This window comes from Homo sapiens, chromosome 16, assembly GCF_000001405.40.
Source record: "Homo sapiens chromosome 16, GRCh38.p14 Primary Assembly".
In the NCBI taxonomy this organism is placed as follows: Eukaryota; Metazoa; Chordata; class Mammalia; order Primates; family Hominidae; genus Homo; species Homo sapiens.
In genome coordinates, this window is record NC_000016.10 from 16,311,631 (window position 1) to 16,328,400 (window position 16,770).

Here is a 16,770-nt window from a genome sequence, read left to right on the forward strand (position 1 = left end):
TCTCTTTGGGTGCGTGCTGGATCCCTGGGGGACGTGGCACATCCCCAGGCTTTCTAAACATTGGGTGGGTTCTGGCATTTGGTTTTGTAACGTTTCTGGGTCACTCCCGCCTGTGGCCACCCTTCCTTAGGGGAGCCGTGTGTCCTTGGGGCTTTGCTGGGTGGTCTCGAGGGTGGGAGAAGAATGGGTTCTCCTGGACCAATGGAGCCCGTGCCCCTCGGGGCCACATTGCTCCTGCGCTCCCTGACTGCGGACGCGTGTGTCTCGCGGCTGTCTCTGTGGAGATGGCCTCCTCCTGCCTGGCAACAGCACCCACAGAATTGCATCAGACCTACCCCACCCGTTGTTTGTGATGCTGTAGCTGAGGGCTCCTCTGTCTGCCAGGCCGGTCACTGGGGACTCTGTCCAGGTCCTGGTGGTTCCTGCTTCCCAGCACCTGATGGTGTCCATGAGAGCAGCCCCTCGGGAGCTGTCCGGGAGAGAAGGGCGCTGGTGGCTGCTGAGCGGAGAGCAAGGCCCGTGTTCTCCAGGCCCTTGGCACAGCAGTGGAACCCCCGCCCCTGCCTTGTGTTGTCCTCTTAGGCTCTGGTCCTGGGGTTTGGAGGAGGGGGACCCTGGGGGTTGGTGGCCTGTCCCAGCCTGAGCTGGCAAGATTCCGAATGCCAGGCCCCTCAAGTGTGCAACAGGGCACAGGGTGACCTCGTGGGCAGGTGGGTGCTGTTCTGTACACACCTGGGGCCGCCGCTGGGAGAGTTCTGGAAGGTGGGGTGAGGGGACCCATGGGAAACTAGGGCCCTAGGAAGGATGTGAAGGCCCTGGCTGGCCCCCCAGGCCACCCTCTGTGCTGTGGGGCAGCCCAGCCATTTTGCTGTCTACCCTGCAAACTCCTCCTCGGGGAGACGGCTGGGTTTTCCCCAGGGAAGAGGGGTCAAGCTGGGAGAGGTGAAGGACACAGATCACAGCTGCTGGCAGGTGTTCAAGGGTCCAGGAGCGTTGCTGTCTGGGTGTCACCAGTAGCCTTCCTGGGGGGCTCACGCAGGTGCCTCTCCACTTGTGGCTCCCTGGCTGCTGAAGCTCAGCAGGGACAGCTGTGTCCAGTTCCAGGTGGAGGACAGCCGGGGCTTCTGAGGCCACAGCCTGCCTTGGGTTAAGGATGCTGCCGAGAGGTGGTGGCTTTTGGAAAAGATGGCGTACTGCAAAACGTGCTGCTCTGCATGGCTCGAAGCTTCGTGGGGAGACGTGGGCAGAGCCGTGGCTGACTCACAGACCCCCCACCCCAGAGCCTGCCCTGCCCTCCCTGCCCCGACCCTTCCCCTCCTGACCCATGTGTTTTTTGTTTTTTTTTTTGAGACAGAGTTCACTCTTGTTGCCAAGGCTGGAGTGCAATGGCACGATCTCGGCTCATGGCAACCTCCGCCTCCTGGGTTCAAGCGCTTTTCCTGCCTCAGCCTCCCGAGTAGCTGGGATTACAGGCGTGCACCACCATGCCTGGCTAATTTTGTATTTTTAGTAGAGACAGGGTTTCTCCATATTGGTCAGGCTGGTCTTGAACTCCTGACCTCAGATGATCCGCCCGCCTCGGCCTCCCAAAGTGCTGGGATTACAGGCATGAGCCACCACGCCCAGCCCTGACCCATGTTTTGAACCAAATTCCAGCCACCCTTTTATCTGCAAGCATTTTGGAGGGCATCGCAATACCGCAGACCCACCTAACACAACAGACAATTCCTTCATGCCACCGAAGGCCTGGTGTGTTCACATTTTTGGTTTAATAGTTTGAATTAAGAGCCAAATAAGGTCCACACACTGCAATTAGTTGATGTCTTTTTTTTTTTTTTTTTTTTTTTTTTTTGAGACGGAGTCTTGCTCTTGTCTCCAGGCCGCAGTGCAGTGGCATGATCTCAGCTCGCCGCAACCTCCGACTCCCTGGTTCAAGTGATTCTCCTGCCTCAGCCTCCCGAGTACCTGGTAGCTGGGTTTACAGGCATGCACCACCGTGCCCAGCTAATTTTTGTATTTTTAGTAGAGACGGGGTTTTACCGTGTTGGCCAGGATGGTCTCGATCTCCTGACCTCGTGATCTGCCCACCTCGGCCTCCCAAAGTGCTGGGATTACAGGCGTGAGCCACCGCACCCGGCCAATGTCTTTTAAAAATATATACTTTTTTTTTTTTTTTTTTGAGACAGAGTTTCGCTCTTGTTGCCCAGGCTGGAGTGCAGTGGCGCGATCTCAGCTCACGGCAACCTCCGCCTCCCGGGTTCAAGCGATTCTCCTGCCTCAGCCTCTCCAGTAGCTGGGATTACAGGCGTGTGCCACCATGCCTGGCTAATTTTGTATTTTTAGGAGAGACGGGGTTTCTCCACGTTGGTCAGGCTGGTCTCAAACTCCTGACCTCAAGTGATCCGCCTGCCTTGGCCTCCCAAAGTGTTGGGATTACAGGTGTGAGCCAGCGCGCCCAGACAAAAATGTATATGTGTGTCTTTAAGGCTGGTCAAGCAAAGCAGTGGAACTGGAGAAAGAATGAAGAATTCTACCTGGCTGTGATCAATTCGTTGTGAACACCACTGTGCTTGGACCAGCTAGCTGATGTCTTTTGTTTTGTTTTGTTTGAGACGGAGTCTGGCTCTGTCACCCAGGCTGGAGGACAATGGTGTGATCTCGGCTCACTGCAGCCTCCACCTCCCGGGTTCAAGCGATTCTCCTGCCTCAGCCTCCTGAGTAGCTGGGATTACAGGCGCGCGCCACCACGCCCAGCTAATTTTTAAAAATATTTTTAGTAGAGATGGGGTTTCACCATGTTGGTCAGGCTGGTCTTGAACTCTTGGCCTTAGGTGATCTGCTTGCCTCGGCCTCCCGAAGTGCTGGGATTACAGGTGTGAGTGATGTCTTTTATTTATTTATTTATTTATTTTTTATTATTATTTGAGATGGAGTCTCACTCTGTTGCCCAGGCTGGAGTGCAGCAGTGCCATCTCGGCTCACTGCAAGCTCCGCCTCCTGGGTTCACACCATTCTCCTGCCTCAGCCTCCCGAGTAGCCTGGACTGGTGCCCGCCACCACGCCCAGCTAATTTTTGCATTTTTAGTAGAGACGGGGTTTCACCCTGTTGGCCAGGATGGTCTTGATCTCTTGATCTCATGATCCACCCACCTTGGCCTCCCAAAGTGCTGGGATTACAGGAGTGAGCCACCGTGCCCAGCCATCTTTCTTTTCTTGCTTTCTCTTTCTTTTCTTTCGAGACCGGGTCTTGCTCTGTCGCCCAGGCTGGACTGCAGTGGCACAATCATAGCTCACTGCAGCCTCGACCTCCCTGGCTCAAGCGATCCTTCCTCCTCAGCCCCCCGAGTAGTTGGAACTACAGCTCCACACCACCATGCCTGGCTGATTCTTTTTTTCCTTGTAGAGATGGGGTCTTGCTATGCTGTCCATCCTGGTCTCAAACTCCTGGCCTTCCCAAAGCACTGGGATTACAGGCATAAGCCACCACAGCCAGTTTCCTTTTCTTCTTTTTAACTGGAATAGTTGACTTTTTCTTTATTAGCTGTGTGTCAGGAGGGTATTTTTGGCCTTTAGTATGTCGTCTAAGTTGCTAGTGCTTTTCTGAGATTGTAGTTTGTTTTCTAATTTTATTTATATTTTGCGTAGAAGTTGTGTATTTTAGATGGAGTTAGGTCGGCTGGTCTTTGATGTTTTATTTATTAATTATGTATGTATTTATTTATTTTTGAGGTAGAGTCTCGCCGTTTCACCCCAGCTGGAGTACAGTGATGCGATCTCAGCTCCCTGTAGCCTTGACCTCTCTGGGCTCAAGTGATTTTTCTCTCCTCTACCTCCCGAGTACTTGGGACCCCAGGCGCATGCCGCCATGCCTGGCTAATGTGTATTTTTTTGTAGATACGGGGTCTCACTGTGTTGCCCAGGGTGGTTTCAAAATCCTGGGCTCAGGCGATCCTTCCGTCTCAGCTCCCACGGTGCTGTGTTACCGGCGTGTGCCCCAGTGCCTGGCCGTCTTGGAGGTCTTGTTTCTCTGGGTTTATGCCTCAAGGTGGCGCCTGCTCCGCTGTGCTCCCTGGTAGCCTGGTAGTGAGCCTGCTTCTCACACAGTCATACCTGGTTGTGGTCCCACAGTGGGACCACCCTGTTGGGTTCAGAACAGGAGATGGGGGCCCCTCGAGTCTGTGTGGGGGCTGTAGACAGGGTTGGGAGACCTTGGCTCTGTGGGGGACTGTGGACAGGGGATGGGGGGCCTTGGCCCTGCGTGGGATGGGTTGGGGGTCCGTGCCCTTCCTGGCCCTGGGTGGACAGGTCCAGGTGGCACTCGGCATAGGGCTGAGATGGGTGCAGAGGGCTGAGGCCCCCAGGCCTCTCCCGGCTTGGTTTCCCCAGATGAGTGTTCATTTGGGTCTTCCATCAGAAAGGCCCCTCCTGACCTCTGGGAGTGGGGAGCTCAAGGGTGGGAGGCCATAGCTTGGGGATGCTGGAAATGTGTGGGATGGGCCCAGGGATGGCCTCTGGCCTACTAAGGGCTCTGGCCCTGACCCACGGCCACTCACTCCTCAGAGACGTCTCCCACAACCTGCTCCGGGCGCTGGACGTTGGGCTCCTGGCGAACCTCTCGGCGCTGGCAGAGCTGTGAGTGTCCCCCAGTCGTGCCAGCATGCGGGGCTCACTCCGGGTGGGCTGGCGGCACCGCCTCTTGCTGCTCAGCTGTGGGGGCTTCCGTCAGCTTTGCCGAATCCCCCCTCTCTTCCAGGGATATAAGCAACAACAAGATTTCTACGTTAGAAGAAGGAATATTTGCTAATTTATTTAATTTAAGTGAAATGTAAGTTGTGGTTCTTTGGGTGGGGTCCTGGCTGGACCCCAGGCCCCCAGTATCCCTTCTGCCCTCCCAGTTGGTCCGTGTCCCCTTCCAGGCTTGAGACCAGATCCTGGGGGCAGTTCACTACCTGCTTGGAGCCCCCCAGTGCCGGCTTGGTTGGGGCAGGGGAGGCGGTGCTGTCAGGGTGGCTCCAGGGCCTGGTTGCCAGTGGGGGGCTGGCATAGACCCTTCCCACCAGACCTGGTCCCCAACACCTGCCCCTGCCCCGCAGAAACCTGAGTGGGAACCCGTTTGAGTGTGACTGTGGCCTGGCGTGGCTGCCGCGATGGGCGGAGGAGCAGCAGGTGCGGGTGGTGCAGCCCGAGGCAGCCACGTGTGCTGGGCCTGGCTCCCTGGCTGGCCAGCCTCTGCTTGGCATCCCCTTGCTGGACAGTGGCTGTGGTGAGTGCCGGTGGGTGGGGCAGCTCTGTCCTTCCCAGCCAGGTGGGACCTGGGCCCTGCAGACACTGGGCAGGGCTCAGGAAGGCCTCTCTGGGGGGGGCCTCCGGGCCAAGGGAACAGCATGGGAGCCTGTGAGTGCGGCGGGCGGATGGGGGGGTGTGGGGTGGAGCCAGGAGGAGCAGAACCCGGGGTCCAGTGGCTGCCTCTTCTAGGTGAGGAGTATGTCGCCTGCCTCCCTGACAACAGCTCAGGCACCGTGGCAGCAGTGTCCTTTTCAGCTGCCCACGAAGGCCTGCTTCAGCCAGAGGCCTGCAGCGCCTTCTGCTTCTCCACCGGCCAGGGCCTCGCAGCCCTCTCCGAGCAGGGCTGGTGCCTGTGTGGGTCAGCCCAGCCCTCCAGTGCCTCCTTCGCCTGCCTGTCCCTCTGCTCCGGCCCCCCGCCGCCTCCTGCCCCCACCTGTAGGGGCCCCACCCTCCTCCAGCACGTCTTCCCTGCCTCCCCAGGGGCCCCCCTGGTGGGGCCCCACGGACCCCTGGCCTCCGGCCAGCTAGCAGCCTTCCACATCGCTGCCCCGCTCCCTGTCACTGCCACACGCTGGGACTTCGGAGACGGCTCCCCCGAGGTGGATGCCGCTGGGCCGGCTGCCTCGCATCGCTATGTGCTGCCTGGGCGCTATCACGTGACGGCCGTGCTGGCCCTGGGGACCGGCTCAGCCCTGCTGGGGACAGACGTGCAGGTGGAAGCGGCACCTGCCGCCCTGGAGCTCGTGTGCCCGTCCTCGGTGCAGAGTGACGAGAGCCTCGACCTCAGCATCCAGAACCGCGGTGGTTCAGGCCTGGAGGCCGCCTACAGCATCGTGGCCCTGGGCGAGGAGCCGGCCCGAGGTGAGTGTCTGCTGCCCACTCCCCTTCCTCCCCAGGGCCATCCAGATGGGGCAGAGCCTGGTACCCCCGTCTTGGGCCCACACTGACCGTTGACACCCTCGTTCCCACCGGTCTCCAGCGGTGCACCCGCTCTGCCCCTCGGACACGGAGATCTTCTCTGGCAATGGGCACTGCTACCGCCTGGTGGTGGAGAAGGCGGCCTGGCTGCAGGCGCAGGAGCAGTGTCGGGCCTGGGCCGGGGCCACCCTGGCAATGGTGGACAGTCCCGCCGTGCAGCGCTTCCTGGTCTCCCGGGTCACCAGGTGCCTGCCCCACCCCCCGAGGGGCCATAGGTTGGGAGATCTCTGAAGCAGTGGGGCAGAGCCTGCGGCTGGGGAGTCTCAGGAGGAGGGAGGTGGGAGCTGGGCCGGCCCTGGTGAGCAGGTGGCGCCGGCCGGTGGGGCCGTTCCTGTCAGCTCTGCAGATGCAGAGGTGGACGCGAGCTGGGGGCAGCCTCCGGACACTCCTGGGCACGCCATACGGGAGGTGGCCTGCACGGGGATCCCTGCCGGTGCCCACAGGCCCCGTGGGTGGGTGCTGCTGTGAGCCTGGGCTGGTGGGCCCTGTTCTCCGGGCTCTGAGCCTCAGTTTCCCCATCTGGAAAGGGGGACAGTGACGGGGCTCCCAGCGGGCTGCTGTGAGGGTGGGAGGATGGAGGAGTGCCCTGAGCCCCCTGCCATCCCACACCCGCCCCCAGGAGCCTAGACATGTGGATCGGCTTCTCGACTGTGCAGGGGGTGGAGGTGGGCCCAGCGCCGCAGGGCGAGGCCTTCAGCCTGGAGAGCTGCCAGAACTGGCTGCCCGGGGAGCCACACCCAGCCACAGCCGAGCACTGCGTCCGGCTCGGGCCCACCGGGTGGTGTAACACCGACCTGTGCTCAGCGCCGCACAGCTACGTCTGCGAGCTGCGGCCTGGAGGTGTGCGAGGGGCCAGGCAGGGGCCTGAGACGCTGGCTGTGGTTAGGGGCCTGCCGAGCGCCCGCGGTGGAGCCTGGGCTGAGGAGGAGGGGCTGGTGGGGGGGTTCTCGGGCGGCTCGGTCCCCAGTCTGTTCGTCCTGGTGTCCTGGGCCCTGGCCCGGCGCCTCACTGTGCACTTGCCACCCCAGGCCCAGTGCAGGATGCCGAGAACCTCCTCGTGGGAGCGCCCAGTGGGGACCTGTAGGGACCCCTGATGCCTCTGGCACGGCAGGACGGCCTCTCAGCCCCGCACGAGCCCGTGGAGGTAGTCGGCCCCCCACGTTCTATAACCTGCCCTCCTGCCTGCCCCTGGAGGCCTCGCCTGCCCTGCCCACTGTGGGTCTCGCCAAAAAACTTGGGGGCCTTAATGTTGCTTGTGCCCAGTGAAGATGGTTGGGAAAATCCAGAGTGCAGAGAGGAAAGCGTTTACTCACATTACCCCCAGGCCTTTTCTCTGAGTGTGGGTGAGTTATTCCTGAAAGGCAGGTCAGGGGTCCTGCCCCCCATGGACAGTTTCCATCGGAGTCTTCCTCTCGAGCGACAGGAGCCAGGCCTGTGGGGGTCCGATGGCTCGCTCTCCTTCCCTCCCCTCTTCCTGCGAAGTTCGGGTGGGGGGAGTCTGGGCTTCAGGCTGGGATGGGGTCTGTGGAGCTGAGGCGGCCCCCTGCCCACCAGGTCATGGTATTCCCGGGCCTGCGTCTGAGCCGTGAAGCCTTCCTCACCACGGCCGAATTTGGGACCCAGGAGCTCCGGCGGCCCGCCCAGCTGCGGCTGCAGGTGTACCGGCTCCTCAGCACAGCAGGTGGGACTCTGGGGTGGTGGGCGCCGCAGGACTCGGGGTGGCCTCTCTGAGCTCTCACGTCTGCTGGTCCTGTGGCCATCAGAGTGGTTCCCAGTCTTAGGTGGACAGAGCAGGGGTTCCAGAGACACCAGCTCATTCCAGGTGTCCTGGGGGTGGATCGGGTGGGGCCTGCCTGGGGACCGGCCTGGGTCAGTCAGCTGGCCGGAGACAGGGACGCAGCACTGGGCTGGGAGTGCTGCCCGGGCGGGGAGACCTGTCCTCACAGCAAGGCCAGGCTCGCTGGTGCAGGCAGTTGGGCATCTCTGACGGTGGCCCATGGGCGAATCAGGGCCCCAACACCCTCCCCTCCTCGCAGGGACCCCGGAGAACGGCAGCGAGCCTGAGAGCAGGTCCCCGGACAACAGGACCCAGCTGGTCCCCGCGTGCATGCCAGGGGGACGCTGGTGCCCTGGAGCCAACATCTGCTTGCCGCTGGACGCCTCCTGCCACCCCCAGGCCTGCGCCAATGGCTGCACGTCAGGGCCAGGGCTACTCGGGTCCCCCTATGCGCTATGGAGAGAGTTCCTCTTCTCCGTTCCCGCGGGGCCCCCCGCGCAGTACTCGGTGTGTGGCCCTGACCTGGGTCTGTTCCCTGCATCTCCTCAGGCCACCTTCCTGTCTGCTGCCCAGGGTCTGGGTCTGCGCAGCAGACACACCCAGCCTGCAGGCCCCTCCCACGTCCTTGCCACCTCTGACCTCCGACCTCCGACCTCCAACCTCCGACCTCTGCAGTGCCTTTGCCCCTCTCCCAGTGGGAGAAGCTCTCGCCTGGGCCCTTGGCACGAGCTGTGCCTCCTCTTCCTCTCTCCCAGCACAGCCGCTCCTTCCTGTCTGTCAGGTCTTGGCCTGTGTCCTCTCCCCGTGTGTCCCCCTGTCTGCAACTGTCCTGCCTGTCCTTGTCACGAGCACTGTGGGGAGGCTCCCTGAGGTGTGGCTGACGAAGCGGGGAGCCCTGCGTGTCCACCCTCATCCGTCGTGCAGGGGTCCACGGGCCATGACCGTGAGGACGTGATGCAGCCCTGCCTCCCTCTCCACAGGTCACCCTCCACGGCCAGGATGTCCTCATGCTCCCTGGTGACCTCGTTGGCTTGCAGCACGACGCTGGCCCTGGCGCCCTCCCGCACTGCTCGCCGGCTCCCGGCCACCCTGGTCCCCAGGCCCCGTACCTCTCCGCCAACGCCTCGTCATGGCTGCCCCACTTGCCAGCCCAGCTGGAGGGCACTTGGGCCTGCCCTGCCTGTGCCCTGCGGCTGCTTGCAGCCACGGAACAGCTCACCGTGCTGCTGGGCCTGAGGCCCAACCCTGGGCTGCGGCTGCCTGGGCGCTATGAGGTCCGGGCAGAGGTGGGCAATGGCGTGTCCAGGCACAACCTGTCCTGCAGCTTTGACGTGGTCTCCCCAGTGGCTGGGCTGCGGGTCATCTACCCTGCCCCCCGCGACGGCCGCCTCTACGTGCCCACCAACGGCTCAGCCTCGGTGCTCCAGGTGGACTCTGGTGCCAGCGCCACGGCCACGGCTCGCTGGCCTGGGGGCAGTGTCAGCGCCCGCTTTGAGAATGCCTGCCCTGCCCTGGTGGCCACCTTCGTGCCCAGCTGCCCCTGGGAGACCAATGATACCCTGTTCTCAGTGGTAGCACTGCCGTGGCTCGGTGAGGGGGAGCACGTGATGGACGTTGTGGTGGAAAACAGCGCCAGCCGGGCCAACCTCAGCCTGCGGGTGACGGCGGAGGAGCCCATCTGTGGCCTCCGCGCCACGCCCAGCCCCGAGGCCCGTGTACTGCAGGGAGTCCCAGTGGTGAGTATGGCCGAGGCTCCACCACCAGCCCCCAGGCAGGTGCCTGCAGACAGGGTGCTCACACAGGGCGTGAGGCCTGGCTTCCCAGTGAGGGCGGCAGCCCAGTTACTGGGGACGTCGGCCCCGGGCAGGTCCTGCTGGCTGGCTCCTCAGGCTACCTGGTGGGCTTTAAATTCCTGGAAAGTCACGGCTCTGACAGCGGCTCCGCTAACTCATTCCACCGTCTCATTTCACGAAATGAATTTAAAACTCCGCTCCCTGACCTCACACGAGTCCCCGTGAGTCTCTCACGCCCTCTGCTGTGTTCTCGCCTGGCTAAAGCAAGTGGCTTTTGAGGTGGAGTCCGAACCCCTGATGGGAAACTGCGGGCTGCCCGCAGTGCCACCATGCTGGGTACATGGGGGACAGGGCTGTTCCATCTTGCGGGTACCTGCCCCTTCACCAGGGGCCTTGGGAGGGGCCATCAGAAATGGCGTGACCTGTGCAGCCTGTCCTGGGTTCTGTAAGCCAGTGTAGGTGCTGTCCCTGTGAGGCCCGTGTGCCTCCCCTCACTGCTCCGAGCTCTCTGGCTGAGGAGCTGGGGCAGGAGCCCCGGGAGGGTCTGAGAAGACTCAGAGAGAGGTGGACTCTTTGTAGCTGGTACTAGGTTTGCTTTACAGATGGGGAAACTGAGGCACAGAGAGGTTGAGGCATTAGTAGTACTACATGGCTGGCTGGAGAGCCGGACAGTCAGTGTCCCAGCCCGGGCTTGGCTCTCATGGCATGCAGAGCCCCGGGCACCTCCTCTCCTCTGTGCCCCGCGTGGGACTCTCCAGCCCGACGGGAGGTGTGTCCAGGAGGCGACAGGCTAAGGGCAGAGTCCTCCACAGAGCCCAGGCTGACACCAGTCCCCCCGCAGAGGTACAGCCCCGTGGTGGAGGCCGGCTCGGACATGGTCTTCCGGTGGACCATCAACGACAAGCAGTCCCTGACCTTCCAGAACGTGGTCTTCAATGTCATTTATCAGAGCGCGGCGGTCTTCAAGCTCTCAGTAGGTGGGCGGGAGTGGGGAGGGGAGGGGATGGGGCGGGGCGGGGGCGGGCTCCACCTTCACCTCTGCCTTCTGCTCTGCTTCATGCTGCCCGAGGACGCTGCCATGGCTGTGGTGAGTGGAGGGAGGGACGCCAAGCAGGGCAGGCCTCTCACCTGCCACCTGGGCCCACTGATGCCTGTCCCTGCAGCTGACGGCCTCCAACCACGTGAGCAACGTCACCGTGAACTACAACATCACCGTGGAGCGGATGAACAGGATGCAGGGCCTGCGGGTCTCTACAGTGCCAGCCGTGCTGTCCCCCAATGCCACGCTGGCACTGACGGCGGGCGTGCTGGTGGACTCGGCCGTGGAGGTGGCCTTCCTGTGAGTGACTCAGGGGCCGGTTTGGGGTGGGCACCAGGCTCTTGTCCGGGCACCAGGCTCTTGTCCCGGCTCCAGCCTCAGCCGAGGGACCCCACATCAGGGGGTTGCTTTTCTGAGCCTCGGTTTCCCTGTCTGTTGGGAGGTACTGGGTGCACAGGAGCCCTGAGGCTGCACGGGAGCCGGGAGAGGCCTCAGCACAGCCGGGTGGGCCCTGAATGGAGGCCCGGGGCGTGACTGCAGAGTGGAGCCTCGGCTGGGTCCCAAGCACCCCCTGCCCCGCCACCGCGCACCTGTGCCCCGCCACTGCGCACCCCTGTCCCGGTTCACTCACTGCCTCCCACCGCCCCGGCAGGTGGACCTTTGGGGATGGGGAGCAGGCCCTCCACCAGTTCCAGCCTCCGTACAACGAGTCCTTCCCGGTTCCAGACCCCTCGGTGGCCCAGGTGCTGGTGGAGCACAATGTCACCCACACCTACGCTGCCCCAGGTGAGGGATGAGGGGGTGAGGGGGCCACTGCCTTTCAGGCTCTGAGCACGGGGCCCCCCCAGTCCCCCAGTCAAGCTGCCCCGCTTCCTCCCCAACAGCCCTCACTGTGACCTCACCTGGGCTGATGGCTTAGGCCCCTACTGGGGTGAGGGAGGGGCCAGGCGTGGGAGGAGTGGACAGGGAAGCTGGGCCCCCTGAACTGCCCCCCACCGCGGCCTGGCTCTTGCTGCTCTGCTGCCCCGAGTGCAGCTGCACTTGGAGGCGGTGCCGTCCTCACCAGGCAGCCCTCAGTGCTGCTGCACCTGTGCTCCGTCCCGCACGTGGCTTGGGAGCCTGGGACCCTTAAGGCTGGGCCGCAGGTGCAGCCGTTCACCCCGGGCTCCTCAGGCGGGGGGCTTCTGCCGAGCGGGTGGGGAGCAGGTGGGGGTGCCGCGGCTGCCCCACTTGGGCCTGTCCCCACAGGTGAGTACGTCCTGACCTTGCTGGCATCTAATGCCTTCGAGAACCGGACGCAGCAGGTGCCTGTGAGCGTGTGCGCCTCCCTGCCCTCTGTGAGCGTGTGCGCCTCCCTGACTGGGGCCTGCTGGTACCCCAGAGTGGGTGTCTGTTCCCCAGTCCCTGCTTTCCTCAGCTGGCCTGATTGGGGGTCTGCCCAGAGGGGTCGTCTGAGGGGAGGGTGTGGGAGCAGGTTCCATCCCGGCTCAGCCTCCTGACCCAGGCCCTGGCTAAGGGCTGCAGGAGTCTGTGAGTCAGGCCTACGTGGCAACTGCGGTCCTCACACCCACACATACGTCTGTTCCCACACGCATCCCCCCAGGGGCCCTCAGTGAGCATTGCCTGCCTCCTGCCAGGGTCCAGCTGGGTCCAGTACACCAGAACGCACACCCCAGTGTCCTCTGCCCTGTGTATGCCCTTCCGCCGCCCAGGTTGGAAGGTGGCAAACCGGATGAGTATCCTGGGAGGGGGTGAGCTCACCGGCAGTGGCCAGGCCCCTGGGAAACCTGGAGTTTGGGAGCAGCATCCTCCACGGGTCCCCCAGACCTTCCAGCAGGCCAAATAGACCTGTGTTGGAGGTAACCCCACTCCCACGCCAGGTGCTGATCCGCAGTGGCCGGGTGCCCATTGTGTCCTTGGAGTGTGTGTCCTGCAAGGCACAGGCCGTGTACGAAGTGAGCCGCAGCTCCTACGTGTACCTGGAGGGCCGCTGCCTCAATTGCAGCAGCGGCTCCAAGCGAGGGGTGAGTGTTGAGCGGGGTGTGGGCGGGTTGGGGATGGGTCCCATGGCCGAGGGGACGGGGCCTGCAGGCAGAAGTGGGGCTGACAGGGCAGAGGGTTGCGCCCCCTCACCATCCCTTCTGCCTGCAGCGGTGGGCTGCACGTACGTTCAGCAACAAGACGCTGGTGCTGGATGAGACCACCACATCCACGGGCAGCGCAGGCATGTGACTGGTGCTGCGGCGGGGCGTGCTGCGGGACGGCGAGGGATACACCTTCACGCTGACGGTGCTGGGCCGCTCTGGCGAGGAGGAGGGCTGCGCCTCCATCCCCCTGTCCCCCAACCGCCCGCCGCTGGGGGGCTCTTGCTGCCTCTTCCCACTGGGCGCTGTGCACGCTCTCACCACCAAGGTGCACTTCGAATGCATGGGTGAGTGCAGGCCTGCGTAGGGGGAGCAGCGGGATCCCCCGACTCTGTGAGGTCACGGAGCCCTCCTGTGATGCCGTGGGGACCGTCCCTCAGGCTGGCATGACGCGGAGGATGCTGGCGCCCCGCTGGTGTACGCCCTGCTGCTGCAGCGCTGTCGCCAGGGCCACTGCGAGGAGTTCTGTGTCTACAAGGGCAGCCTCTCCGGCTACGGAGCCGTGCTGCCCCCGGGTTTCAGGCCACACTTCGAGGTGGGCCTGGCCGTGGTGGTGCAGGACCAGCTGGGAGCCGCTGTGGTCGCCCTCAACAGGTGAGCCAGGCCGTGGGAGGGCGCCCCCGAGACTGCCACCTGCTCACCACCCCCCTCTGCTCGTAGGTCTCTGGCCATCACCCTCCCAGAGCCCAACGGCAGCGCAATGGGGCTCACAGTCTGGCTGCACGGGCTCACCGCTAGTGTGCTCCCGGGGCTGCTGCGGCAGGCCGATCCCCAGCACGTCATCGAGTACTCGCTGGCCCTGGTCACTGTGCTGAACGAGGTGAGTGCAGCCTGGGAGGGGACCTCACATCTGCTGCATGCGTGCTGGGGACCAAGACCTGTTCCCCTGCCTGGAGCTTTGCGGAGGGCTCATCCCGGGCCCCAGAGATAAATCCCAGTGACCCTGAAGCAGCACCCCGACGTTCCGCTCCCAGCAGCCACACCCACCAGGCCCTCTCCGGCGTCTGCTTTCCACAATGCAGCCCCCGCCCAGGAGGGCCCATGTGCTTACCCTGTTTTGCCCATGAAGAAACAGCTCAGTGTTGCGGGTCAGTGCCCACATCACACAGCATCTAGCACGTAACTGCACCCCGGGAGTCGTGGGCATCTGCTGGCCTCCTGCCGGCCTCCTGCCCTGCTGACAGCTTGCTGTGCCCCCTGCCTGCCCCAGTACGAGCGGGCCCTGGACGTGGCGGCAGAGCCCAAGCACGAGCGGCAGCGCCGAGCCCAGATACGCAAGAACATCACGGAGACTCTGGTGTCCCTGAGGGTCCACACTGTGGATGACATCCAGCAGATCGCTGCTGCGCTGGCCCAGTGCATGGTAGGATGGCCCCACATGCTCTCCCCGCCCCGCATGCCTGCCAGGGTACTGGGTTCAGCCCCCCAGGGCAGACGGGCAGCTTGGCCGAGGAGCTGAGCCTCCAGCCTGGGCTCCTTCCTGCCATGGCGTTCCTCGGTCTCTGACCTGCTTCAGTAGCCTCAGCCATTCTGCTGTCCTGTGTGAACGCAGGGTGCCTCTCGGGGGACCCAGGGTGTAAAGAGGGGCCCAGATGTGGGGAGGGACTAAGAAGATGCTGCTCTGTGCCCTCCACTCTCCCCTCCCCTCCCCCTTCCCTCCCCTAGCCCCTCCCCTCCCCTTCCCTCCCCTAACCCCTCCCCTCCCCCTTCCCTCCCCTAGTCCCTCCCCCCTCCCCTAGCCCCTGCCTCCTCCCCCAGCCCCTCCCCTCCCCTAGCCCTTCCCCTCCTCCCCTCCCCTAGACCTTCCCCTCACCTCATCCCGCTGAGCCCCTCCACTCCTCCCCCAGCCCCTCCATCCCCTCACCCCTCCCCTCCTCCTTCCTCCCCTCCCTCTCCTCTCCCCCTTCTCTCTCCTTCCCTCTCCTCTCCCCCCTTTTCTCCACTTCCCTCTCCTCTCTCCCTTCTGCCCTCCTCCTTCTCTCATGTGAAGAGGTGCCTTGTGTGGTCAGTGGGCTGCATCACGTGTTCCCCAGGTGGAGGCCCTGGGTCATGCAGAGCCACAAAAAATGCTTAGTGAGGAGGCTGTGGGGGTCCAGTCAAGTGGGCTCTCCAGCTGCAGGGCTGGGGGTGGGAGCCAGGTGAGGACCCGTGTAGAGAGGAGGGCGTGTGCAAGGAGTGGGGCCAGGAGCGGGGCTGGACACTGCTGGCTCCACACAGGGGCCCAGCAGGGAGCTCGTATGCCGCTCGTGCCTGAAGCAGACGCTGCACAAGCTGGAGGCCATGATGCGCATCCTGCAGGCAGAGACCACCGCGGGCACCGTGACGCCCACCGCCATCGGAGACAGCATCCTCAACATCACAGGTGCCGCGGCCCGTGCCCCACGCCACCCGCCCGCCCCACGTGGCCCGTCCGCCCCATGCCGCCCTTTCCTCTGCCTCCCTCCTCCCCACAACCGCCTCGCCTTTGCCCCATCCCATCTTCGTCCCCCTCCCCTCCCCCCAATTCCCATCCTCATCCCCCTCCCCCAATTCCCATCCTCATCCCGCTCCCCCAATTCCCATCCTTATCCCCCTCCCCCAATTCCCATCCTTATCCCCCTCCCCCAATTCCCATTCTCCTCCCCCTCCCCCTTCCCTATTACCATCCCTTTTCTCCATCTCTCTCCCCTTTTCTCCATTTCCCCCCCGATCCTCCCCGTCCTTTTGTCCATTCCCCTCATCTTTCTTATCCCCCTTATCCTCCTTCCCCTCCCTTATCCCCCTTCCCCTCCCTTATCCCCCTTATCCCCTTCCCCTCCCTTTCACCCTGCTCCTCTTCTTCTCCCCTTTCTCTTTTCTCTACCCTTTTCCTTCCTTTTTCCTCCCTCTCCCCATCATCCCCCTCATCTTCGTCCTCATCCCCATCCCCTTCCCCCTCCCCCTCCACCACTCTCTCTCCAGCTTCCCTCTTCCTTCTGCCTGCACCTCGCTCTCTGCCCCCTCAGGTTCCCCCTTTCTCCCAGTCCCCACCCTCCGGCTCCCCCTTTTTGCCTGCCCCCACCCTCCCTCTGCCTCCCTGTCTCTGCACTGACCTCACGCCTGTCTGCAGGAGACCTCATCCACCTGGCCAGCTCAGACGTGCGGGCACCACAGCGCTCAGAGCTGGGAGCCGAGTCACCATCGCGGATGGTGGCGTCCCAGGCCTACAACCTGACCTCTGCCCTCACGCCCATCGTCACGCGCTCCCGCGTGCTCAACGAGGAGCCCCTGACGCTGGCGGGTGAGGAGATCGTGGCCCAGGGCAAGCGCTCGGACCCGCGGAGCCTGCTGTGCTATGGCGGCGCCCCAGGGCCTGGCTGCCACTTCTCCATCCCCTAGGCTTTCAGCAGGGCCCCGGCCAACCTCAGTGACGTGGTGCAGCTCATCTTTCTGGTGGACTCCAATCCCTTTCCCTTTGGCTATATCAGCAACTACACCGTCTCCACCAAGGTGGCCTCGATGGCGTTCCAGACACAGGCCGGCGCCCAGATCCCCATCGAGCGGCTGGCCTCAGAGCGCGCCTCACCGTGAAGGTGCCCAACAACTCGGACTGGGCTGCCCGGGGCCACCGCAGCTCCGCCAACTCCGTTGTGGTCCAGCCCCAGGCCTCCGTCGGTGCTGTGGTCACCCTGGACAGCAGCAACCCTGCGGCCGTGCTGCATCTGCAGCTCAACTATACGCTGCTGGACGGTGCATGCAGCGGTTGGGGCACACGCGGCCCCCTGGCCTTGTTCT

The 16,770-nt window shown here is 63.5% G+C and overlaps 1 long non-coding RNA gene, 1 other non-coding gene and 2 pseudogenes across 7 annotated transcripts in view, besides 4 other annotated features; 3 read left to right on the plus strand and 1 right to left on the minus strand.

Moving 5' to 3' along the window:
• Positions 1-538, minus strand: part of LOC105371099 (uncharacterized) — a 16,150-nt gene extending 15,612 nt beyond the window's left edge. For both annotated transcript variants that reach the window (XR_001752343.3, XR_933137.4), the window contains exon 1: positions 336-538. This is a non-coding gene — a long non-coding RNA (uncharacterized LOC105371099). The remainder of the gene's footprint in view (positions 1-335) is intronic.
• Positions 1-16,770, plus strand: part of LOC131696449 (PKD1P1-NPIPA5L readthrough) — a 40,475-nt pseudogene that overhangs the window by 1,497 nt on the left and 22,208 nt on the right. For 2 of the 3 annotated variants that reach the window (NR_172900.1, NR_036447.2), the window contains exons 2-21: positions 4,561-4,632; positions 4,754-4,825; positions 5,094-5,263; positions 5,476-6,147; positions 6,266-6,449; positions 6,921-7,104; positions 7,293-7,408; positions 7,819-7,945; positions 8,301-8,548; positions 9,022-9,777; positions 10,676-10,807; positions 10,998-11,173; positions 11,526-11,659; positions 12,754-12,897; positions 13,025-13,304; positions 13,398-13,611; positions 13,678-13,837; positions 14,228-14,380; positions 15,235-15,379; positions 16,106-16,568. The product of NR_172900.1 is annotated as a PKD1P1-NPIPA5L readthrough, transcript variant 1 (long non-coding RNA). Of the gene's footprint in view, positions 1-4,560; positions 4,633-4,753; positions 4,826-5,093; positions 5,264-5,475; positions 6,148-6,265; positions 6,450-6,883; positions 7,105-7,292; positions 7,409-7,818; positions 7,946-8,300; positions 8,549-9,021; positions 9,778-10,675; positions 10,808-10,997; positions 11,174-11,525; positions 11,660-12,753; positions 12,898-13,024; positions 13,305-13,397; positions 13,612-13,677; positions 13,838-14,227; positions 14,381-15,234; positions 15,380-16,105; positions 16,569-16,770 lie in introns of all 3 variants that reach the window. The other variant, NR_172901.1, reaches the window with a different exon arrangement.
• Positions 1-16,770, plus strand: part of PKD1P1 (polycystin 1, transient receptor potential channel interacting pseudogene 1) — a 22,344-nt pseudogene that overhangs the window by 1,497 nt on the left and 4,077 nt on the right. The window contains exons 2-21 of the transcript NR_187118.1: positions 4,561-4,632; positions 4,754-4,825; positions 5,094-5,263; positions 5,476-6,147; positions 6,266-6,449; positions 6,921-7,104; positions 7,293-7,408; positions 7,819-7,945; positions 8,301-8,548; positions 9,022-9,777; positions 10,676-10,807; positions 10,998-11,173; positions 11,526-11,659; positions 12,754-12,897; positions 13,025-13,304; positions 13,398-13,611; positions 13,678-13,837; positions 14,228-14,380; positions 15,235-15,379; positions 16,106-16,568. The product of NR_187118.1 is annotated as a polycystin 1, transient receptor potential channel interacting pseudogene 1 (transcript). The remainder of the gene's footprint in view (positions 1-4,560; positions 4,633-4,753; positions 4,826-5,093; positions 5,264-5,475; positions 6,148-6,265; positions 6,450-6,920; positions 7,105-7,292; positions 7,409-7,818; positions 7,946-8,300; positions 8,549-9,021; positions 9,778-10,675; positions 10,808-10,997; positions 11,174-11,525; positions 11,660-12,753; positions 12,898-13,024; positions 13,305-13,397; positions 13,612-13,677; positions 13,838-14,227; positions 14,381-15,234; positions 15,380-16,105; positions 16,569-16,770) is intronic.
• Positions 4,978-5,859: an enhancer, noted in NCBI's record as "H3K27ac-H3K4me1 hESC enhancer chr16:16410465-16411346 (GRCh37/hg19 assembly coordinates)". NCBI's record gives its function as "activates a minimal SCP1, AML or CMV promoter by ChIP-STARR-seq in primed H9 embryonic stem cells {active_cell/tissue: H9 hESC(primed)}" and the evidence as "EXISTENCE:reporter gene assay evidence [ECO:0000049][PMID:30033119]".
• Positions 5,860-6,742: an enhancer, noted in NCBI's record as "H3K27ac-H3K4me1 hESC enhancer chr16:16411347-16412229 (GRCh37/hg19 assembly coordinates)". NCBI's record gives its function as "activates a minimal SCP1, AML or CMV promoter by ChIP-STARR-seq in naive H9 embryonic stem cells {active_cell/tissue: H9 hESC(naive)}" and the evidence as "EXISTENCE:reporter gene assay evidence [ECO:0000049][PMID:30033119]".
• Positions 11,620-12,475: an enhancer, noted in NCBI's record as "H3K27ac-H3K4me1 hESC enhancer chr16:16417107-16417962 (GRCh37/hg19 assembly coordinates)". NCBI's record gives its function as "activates a minimal SCP1, AML or CMV promoter by ChIP-STARR-seq in primed H9 embryonic stem cells {active_cell/tissue: H9 hESC(primed)}" and the evidence as "EXISTENCE:reporter gene assay evidence [ECO:0000049][PMID:30033119]".
• Positions 12,545-13,347: an enhancer, noted in NCBI's record as "H3K27ac-H3K4me1 hESC enhancer chr16:16418032-16418834 (GRCh37/hg19 assembly coordinates)". NCBI's record gives its function as "activates a minimal SCP1, AML or CMV promoter by ChIP-STARR-seq in primed H9 embryonic stem cells {active_cell/tissue: H9 hESC(primed)}" and the evidence as "EXISTENCE:reporter gene assay evidence [ECO:0000049][PMID:30033119]".
• On the plus strand, positions 12,958-13,024 carry MIR6511A2 (microRNA 6511a-2). The gene has a single exon (NR_106969.1). It is a non-coding gene; the product is annotated as a microRNA 6511a-2 (primary transcript).